The sequence below is a fragment of the Homo sapiens genome, chromosome 22 (assembly GCF_000001405.40).
Source record: "Homo sapiens chromosome 22, GRCh38.p14 Primary Assembly".
In the NCBI taxonomy this organism is placed as follows: Eukaryota; Metazoa; Chordata; class Mammalia; order Primates; family Hominidae; genus Homo; species Homo sapiens.
The window spans coordinates 27,219,947-27,228,366 of NC_000022.11; the positions used below are offsets into that span (position 1 = coordinate 27,219,947).

The 8,420-nt window shown below is 43.9% G+C and overlaps 1 long non-coding RNA gene across 1 annotated transcript, besides 1 other annotated feature; it reads right to left on the reverse strand.

Moving 5' to 3' along the window:
• Positions 1-1,403: 1,403 nt before the first annotated feature.
• Positions 1,404-4,733, reverse strand: LINC01638 (long intergenic non-protein coding RNA 1638). The gene is made up of 3 exons (NR_171021.1): positions 4,577-4,733; positions 4,284-4,362; positions 1,404-1,755 (listed from the first exon to the last, which is right to left on the reverse strand). It is a non-coding gene; the product is annotated as a long intergenic non-protein coding RNA 1638 (long non-coding RNA).
• Positions 6,462-7,661: an enhancer, noted in NCBI's record as "P300/CBP strongly-dependent group 1 enhancer chr22:27622369-27623568 (GRCh37/hg19 assembly coordinates)". NCBI's record gives its function as "activates an origin of replication core promoter dependent on BRD2, BRD4, P300/CBP, MED14 and CDK7 cofactors, with strong dependence on P300/CBP, by STARR-seq in HCT116 cells {active_cell/tissue: HCT116}" and the evidence as "EXISTENCE:reporter gene assay evidence [ECO:0000049][PMID:35650434]".

Below are 8,420 nucleotides of genomic sequence, written 5' to 3' on the forward strand. Positions count from 1 at the left end.
TGGGTAAAAAGGGATGAGTAGGGATCTGGGCAAAAAGTGAGTGGAAGGGAATTTTAGGAATAAGGAACAACTTTTACAAAGGCCAAGACAGCCAGGGTCATTCTGGGACTTGCACAGAGTTCAAGATGATTTGAGAATGGGGAACAAGGTGAGGAAGGAATCGAACAGGGGAGTGGGGCTGGTCCTGAGGGGTCTTGAGTGCCCACCAAGCTTCTTGGGCTCCACCCAGAGGACCCAACACTAGCCCCTCCATGTGGCTTCACTGAGTTTCTGCTTTCCTGATCTGGTTGGGACCAGATGAGAGTCGCCAGCCTGCAGGCCCCCAGTCCAAGATCTCTGGACTGGACCAGCTCTAAGAACTCTGCTTGTTCTAATGCTCTGATGGAAAAAGGGGTGGAGGGACCCCACTCACACTACGTGCAGGTTGAAGATTAAACAGGATGAAGTGCAGAGCCTGCCTTGTAAACCACAGAGCTGTGTGGAAAGAACATCGTAAAGGTATTGGTTGGGAGGAGGAATCCTCTATCTCCTTCCAAGCCACGAGAGACTGTGACTCAATAATTGAAAACTGCATCTGATTTTCCTTGACTTGTTCTGGGCAGAATCTTGCCTTCTCTCCCCTGCTGACTCATGTGCAGGCTCACACCATCCTTCTTGAATGACAACAGCCAACACTTACTAGGCACCCACGCTGCCCATGTGATGCTCCCAACGACAGCCTTGGAAGTATTTCTAAGCTGCACTTTATAGGTGAGGAAATGGAGGCTCAGAGAAGTGAAACAATCTCCCTGGGATCACAAAGCATACAACGAGCTCAGTGAAAATTAAAAGGCAGGTTTGTATTATTCCAAGATCACCTGAGCCACAGTAGTTCTTGGTTAATAAACTTTGAAGATGCACTTAACCTTGGCAATTGGAGGTTCTAGGATGGGGAGGGAGGTGTTTAAAAATGTCGCATTCACTGCCCAGATGAAAGTTAAACAATAATTATCTCCTTCTTGAGGAGGAAAGACTGCTAGCTCCCTAAGACCCCCCGGATTCATAATAAGCACCTTCAACCCTCCAGAGCCCACTTGGTCTGTTCACAGCTGCCTAGTGCTCTCTGGTATAACAGCAAGATGCCAGAGACCTTGCTAGGGATCCGGGCAAAAAGTGAGCAAGGGTAGCTGGTTCCCCAGTGGTGTGATGCTTGGCTGATAGGAAACTCAAAAGAAACCTTGTACACACACACACACACACACATACAGACACACACACACACACACATACAGACACACACACACACACACACATATAGACACACACACACACACACAGACACACACACACACATACAGACACACACACACACACATACAGACACACACACACACACACATACAGACACACACACACACACATAATTGTAGCACATTCTAGAGTTTATAAAGCCACTGCATCACTGTTCACAGTGATGAAGGTCATTCAAGATGGTTTTATCAGCTGGGTGCGGTGGCTCACGCCTGTAATCCCAGCACTTTGGGAGGCCAAGGTGGGCAGATCATGAGGTCAGGAGATCGAGACCATCCTGGGCAACATGGTGAAACCCCATCTCTACTAAAAATACAAAAATTAGCTGGATGTGGTGGTGTGTAACTGTAGTCCCAGCTACTTGGGAGGCTGAGGCAAGAGAATGGCTTGAACCCTGGAGGTGGAGACTGTAGTGAGCCGAGATCTTGCCACTGCACCACTCCAGCCTGGCGATAGAGTGAGACTCTGTTAAAAAAAAAAAAAAAAAAAAGAAGAAGAAGAAGAAGATTTTCCCAACATTGTCCCCATTTCCCAGAAAAGAAAACTGAGGCCCATCCAGAAGTTAAGGATTCCAGTGGTAGAACCAGCACCAGGTGTCACGATCCAGCTCTGTCACATCATGAGTCCCTAGAGAGCAGAAATTTTGTGCTGACTTCAGGATCTCCCATGAACAGCTCCTCACCTGAATTCCAGAAATCAGTGGGGTGAACCGCACACAGGTAGGAACCAGGTCTGTCTCCTTCACCTCTTAATTCCAGAGCCTAACATAGCACTTGGCACAAAGTAGTAGCACTTGTAAATACTCGGGGGTCTGAATAGAACTGAAAGCTTAGTAAATTAATAAATTAAAATACTTAATAAATAGACACATGGTTAAGTGAATAAATTCATTAATTAACATAAAGGCATTAGGGTGTTCGGATTAAATGAAAAGTATATCAATGGATAATGGATGAATGCAGGATGGGTGAATGGATGATGGATAAGTGGATAGATGGGTGGATGGAAGGATAGGTGGATAAATGGGTGAATGAATGGATGATGGATAAGTGGATAGATGAGTGGATAAATGGATGAGTGGATGGATGGATGGATGCATGGATGGATGGATAGATAGATGGATGACAAATGGATGGTGGATGAATGGGTGAATGGATGGATGATGGATATGTGGATAGATGGGTAGATGGATGGGTTGGTGGATGGATAGATGGATGCATGAAAGAATGGGTGGATGAATGGAAAGATGGGTGGATGGTGGGTGAATGGATCAGTGATGGATAAATGTATAGATGGGTGGATAGATGGAGAGTGGATGGATGGATGAATAGCTGAGTGCATGGATGGATAAATGGATTAATTCATAAGTAAAAAATATAGGATAGATAATGAATGTATAAATAGATAAGCAAATAATAAATAGGGAATTAATTAACAATTGACTTGGTGGAAAGATGGATAAATGAATAAGTGAGTATAATTCAAGTGTGGGTGTGTGGGTAAGTGATCAGACCGGGGTTGCTCAGTGATCAGACTGGGGCTGCTCAGAGAGAAGAGGGCTGCCTCAGTCTTCAGCCTCCCAGTACCCGCCTCCCATCTCCATTAAAATCCTGGAAAATCCTGGCTATTTTCGTCCCTTTTGCAAAGGGGAGCTATTTTTTTTTTTTTTTTTTTTTTAGACACAGCTTATTAAAGGAGAAAGCACACAGAGCCCTTCCTCCCACAGGTGCCTCTTTATCTGCATAAACCCACCCTCTGTCAGGCAGCCAGGAATAAAACTAAGCAGAAAGCCACAGAAAGTGTAAGAAATCAAATACAGAAAGACAGAAAAAGAAGTTGGGCAAATTTTACTGCTCTCTCTAGAGAGAGCCATAGGAGGGAGATTTATTAGGCTGAGCCTAAAATGAGTGATCTCCATTTACCCATGCCTGAGTTATTAGTGAGCTCCATATGCCAGGCTGTGGGGACACATGGATGAACCACGCAGACACAGTCACTGCCCTTATGGAACTTAATGCCTAGTGGGAGAGACGGAGGAAAAAAATCAGCAAACAAAAATATAGTATGGCATCAGAAAAAAGAAATAGTGAGTGTATTGGTAATCTATGGCTGCATAATAAATTTCCCAAAATGTAGTGGCACAATTTCTGGGGGCCAAGAATCCATCTGCATGGCTCTGGCTTAGGAGCTCTTGTGAAGTTGCAGTCCAGATGGTGGCCAGGACTGCAGTCTCATCTGAAGGCTTAACTGGGGCTGAAGGCTCCACTTCCCAGGTGGCTCTCAAACATGCTTGCCAAGTTAGTGCTGGCTGTTGGCAGGAGGCCTCAGTTTCTCTCCATACATACATCTCCAAAAAGTTGCTTGAGCACCCTCATGACATGGCATCTGGCTTCCTCCACTGTGAATCATCCAAGAAATTGCTGGGGGAGGCCGAAATTTCACTTATGACCTAATCTCAGAGGTCACACACCATCCCTCTCCACCACATTCTATTCTCCAAGAGCAAGTCAAAAAGTCCAGCCCACACTCAAGGAGAGGGGAATGAATCATTGCCTTTTGAAGGGAGGAGTGTCAAAGAATGTAATGACATATTTTAAAACCACCACAAAGAGTGCCAGAAGGCCAGAATGATGTGACAAGTAGATGCTGTCAAAGTCTTTGGAAAGAGCCTCCCAGGGAGAAGATCTGCAAGGACAAAGGCCTAGAGGTGGGAGTGAGCTTGTCATGTTTGGAAACAAGAAGGTGTGGATGAGGCTAGAGTGTGTAAAGAAAGCAGGGATCAAAGAAGACCTGGTTGGAGTAAGGCAGGAGGGGGGCTGTGGTGACCAAGGTATGCAGTGTGGATTCTAGCCCACTGCAGATTTTATGGAGTGCTTGCCTGTGCCAATTTTTCGACTCCCTCCAGAACTTCGTGTGAGAGGTGCTATTGTTATTCCCACTGTAAAAAGGAGTATGCTGAGGCCCAGAGAAGTTAAGAAAGGTCACACACCTACCTGTGAATCCGGAGCTCAGGTGTGCATTCAAGCAGGCCAGCCTCAAAGGCAACAGTGCTGATGTATTCCAGAGGGAATGCTGCAAGGAACATACAGAGACATTGGGGTGAAAATGCTTCTGAAGGGAAAATAGGTGGAGAAAGAGAGAGAAACAGAAGACGTGGAACTGAGATGCCAAGAGATACAATGACAGAGAAAGACAGCAAGGGAGACAGAGGAGGATTAAGCATCAGAAATCTTTAGGCAGGCAGACACAAGGAGGTGGAGAGAAAAATAAAGTAAGAGACAGAGACCTGGAGACAGGGGAGGCATGGGATGGAGGAGGTGAGCCAGCATGTGCATGGCGTGCGTGAGTGCAGTGCCTTTGCGCTGGGTGGTGCCGGGACCCCGCTAACTCAGACCATCCATCGCTCCTGTCTCTCATCAGCAGGAGGGCCGGGGGAGGGAGAGAAAGCTGACAGGAGACAGTGTGATTCCAGTAATTCCAGATGAAATCACAGCCAGAAGGCTTGCCAGGAAGTGGGGTGGGGTGGTCAGGGAGAGGGAGGGAACGTCCAGAGAAAGTTTAGCAAATAGCTTTACAATTCCCTCCTCCATACCCTCAAAATGCCGTAGATATGGGGTGGGGAGGATGGCCCTGAGTTTCGGGCTGGGATCAAGGCATCCAGGAGGGGAGCTTGTGCCCACTGACAAGGAGGACGTCTGCCTCCATCAGTCTATGTGAGGATCCAAGGAGGAACACATATTTTCGTGGTTGGTTTTCATACCGCTTTCCTGTCCTTTGCTCTAGAACAGCCCCTCACCTTTTTTCCTTCCTTTTTAATGACATTGACGTTTTTGAAAAGTCTGGACCAACTGTGTTTTGAATGTCTCACGATCTGGGTTTGTCCAGTGATGTCCTCACCATCTGATTGAGGGTAAGCCTTTTGGGCAGTCACATCACAAAGGTATGTGTTGTCCGTTGCATCTCTTCAGGGGACATATGATGTCACTTGGTCCCATTACTGAATATGCTAAGTATTTGGTCAGTTGGTTAAGGTGGGATCCACTAGATGTTTCTACTGTTAAAGAACCCCTTTCCCTGTGTAAATAATATAATCTGTGGGATAGTATTTCGGGAGTATGTAAACACCCCTTTCTCTCGTAAACTTTCAACCAGTAGTTTTGGAATCCATTAATGATCCTTGCCAGAATCAAATATTGCAGGGATGACTGCAACACGGAGTTCTGAAATTTATGTATTTTTTCACACTGTTAACATTCTTTGGTAAAGAAGGGTTTCCCGCTGCTCTCCTCTTATTTTAAATACTATGCATGAGCAATTTTTAATGCTCCAATTGTCCCAGGTTTAGCTGGGTGGACCCCTGCAAGCTGGCCCCTGCATCCTTGTACATGTGCCTCCTTCATTCTTTGAGAACTTCCTAACTTTCTGACACAATAAAATGTTCCAGACTCATCTTCTATTTTCCTTGTTCAAATCCTTAAACCATCCATTTCTCCAAGATGACCTGATCCCTTTCAATGGAAAATGGTATTTAAAAGCCGTGATATCAAGGCAGGAGAATCACTTGAGCCCAGGAGTTCCAGACCAGCCTGGGCAAAATGACAAAACCCCATCTCCACCAAGAAAAATACAAAAATTAGCCAGGCATGGTGGCGCATGCTTATAGTCACAGCTACTCAGGAGGTTGAAGTGGGAGGATCACTTGAGCCCAGGAGGTCAAGGCTGCAGTGGGCCAAGATCATGCCATTGCACTCCAGCCTGAGTGACAGAGTGAGATACTATCTCAAAAATGAATAAAATAAAATAAAAGCCAAAATACATGTTCTAGGTGTGCTTGTTACTACAAAGGTATTGCTATTTCTAGTTTCTTTCAGTAAATAGAAGACACACTTGAGTTCATTCTGATGCCTCCAAATTAAATCCAACATCACAAAGTTCTTTCTCACAATTCCCTCATTCCATATCATATCTCTCTGATTTCACGGTGAGAACCCCATTTCCCCCAATATCAACATATTTGCTCAATGGTTTCAGAATTACACTGATCCTACTATCAACAACTATCTATTCATTCAAGTTCAAGGTTTCTTTGAAGTTCTTGTTGTCCTTAGAGTGTATTTAATTGAGAGCACAGTTAGAGAACAGTGTTCAAAGGTTATTTGAGCTGATTCCCTTCCTACATGGTTACATTTGTATTATTATTGATTGTTGCTTAACAAACTACCCCAGAACTTAGTGGCTTAAAGCAACAACATTTCTTGTCTCACAGTTTCTCTGGATCCAGGTGTGGCTTACCTGGTTCCTCTATTTCCGGAGCTCTCACAGGTTTCGGTCAAGGTGTCCGCAGGGCTGGGTCCTTCTGGGGGCTTGACCGGGGAAGATCTACTTCCATGCTCACTCACATGGCTGTTGTGGGATTTGATTCCTTGGAGACTGCTGGACTGTGGGCCCCAGTTCCTCACTCAGTACATTGCCAGATGTCCTTCAGTTCCTTGCCAGGTCACCTTCTCTATCAAGCTCAGCACATGAGAAGCACCAGGGAGACAGAATACCAACAAGATAGAAGTCACACCCCTTTGGAACCTAATTGTCAGGAGTAACATCTCATTACTTTTTCCATATTTCATTCATTAGAAGTGAGTCACCAGGTCCAGCCAACGTTCAAGGGAAAAGGATTAAACAAAATGCTGGAGTATCCGGAAGTGAGCATCAATGGGGGCCACTTTAGAAGCCTGCCTAGCAGAGTTATCAACGTGATGTGTAGTTAGGCTTGTTTGTTTCTATTTGCCTTCAATTTTAGGGTTTGGTGTCTTTTTCAACATCTTTGATTAAATTTCATCTTTGAATCTGTAAAATATTTATATGATTCAAGAGTATAAATTATAGACAAAGAAGTCCCAAGAGCAGTCTCATTCTTATCTCCATGCTGTCACCCCATTCCCAATTACCTTCTTTTTTAAATTTTTAAATTTTAATTTTAATTTATTTATTTACTTATTTTTTTGAGACGGAGTCTCGCTCTGTCACCCAGGCTGGAGTGCAGTGGCGTGATCTCGGCTCACTGCAAGTTCCGCCTCCCCAGTTCATGCCATCCTTCTCCTGCCTCAGCCTCCTGAGTAGCTGGGACTACAGGCGCCCGCCACCATGCCCGGCTAATTTTTTGTATTTTTAGTAGATATGGAGTTTCATTGTGTTAGCCAGGATGGTCTTGATCTCCTGACCTTGTGATCCACCCGTCTCGGCCTCCCAAAGTGCTGGCATTACAGGCGTGAGCCACCACACCCTGCCCCCAATTACTCTCTATAGTCACTTTTACCCATAAGTGAATCCTGCCAGTTTTTACTTCTATGACTCTATATTCATGTATTTTTAGCTTTCCATATTTTTTAGATAAAAGAGAACATACCATAGGTACTCGCTTGCACTTTGCTTTTTCATTTAAAGCAAAAAAAGATTTAGAAATCATTTTCATTCGTAACAGTTATCCTCAATTTTTTTGTAGCTGCTTAGTACTTCATTATCCAGAAGATTCACAGTTTGTTCAACTGGTCTCCTATGAGTAGGCATTTAGGTTGTTTCTAATATTTTGCTACTACAAATGATATAATGAATAACCACATGCATTTGTTGTTCTGGGCTTGCAGAAGTATATTTTTAGGTAAATTCCAAAATGTAGGATTGAAGGGCTAAAAGGTAAACACATATGTGATATTGTTAGATATTTTCAAATACCCCATTTGCATTTCCACCAGCAATGTATGAGATAATCTGTTTCCCTACATTGTCGCCATGTTCCAACAGAGTATGTGGTCAAGCTTTCACCTTTTGTCAGTCTAAGAGGTAAGAAATACTATGTTTGGGTAGCTTTAATTTGCATTTCTCTTGTGCATGGAGTTGAACACCTTTTCACATTTTGAGGTCCATTTATACATCTCTTTCTGTGAACCATCTAATCACGTTTTTTCCTTATTTTTAAAAACTGAGTTTTTGGTCTTTATTCTTGATTTTTAAGAACTCTTTATGTATTAAGGACATCAACTACTTATCTGTGACATAGATTAAAAATGTTTTCTTCCAGCTTCTCTTTTGACTTCACTTTCGATGTTTGTTACAAAATGGTTATGCATTCAGAT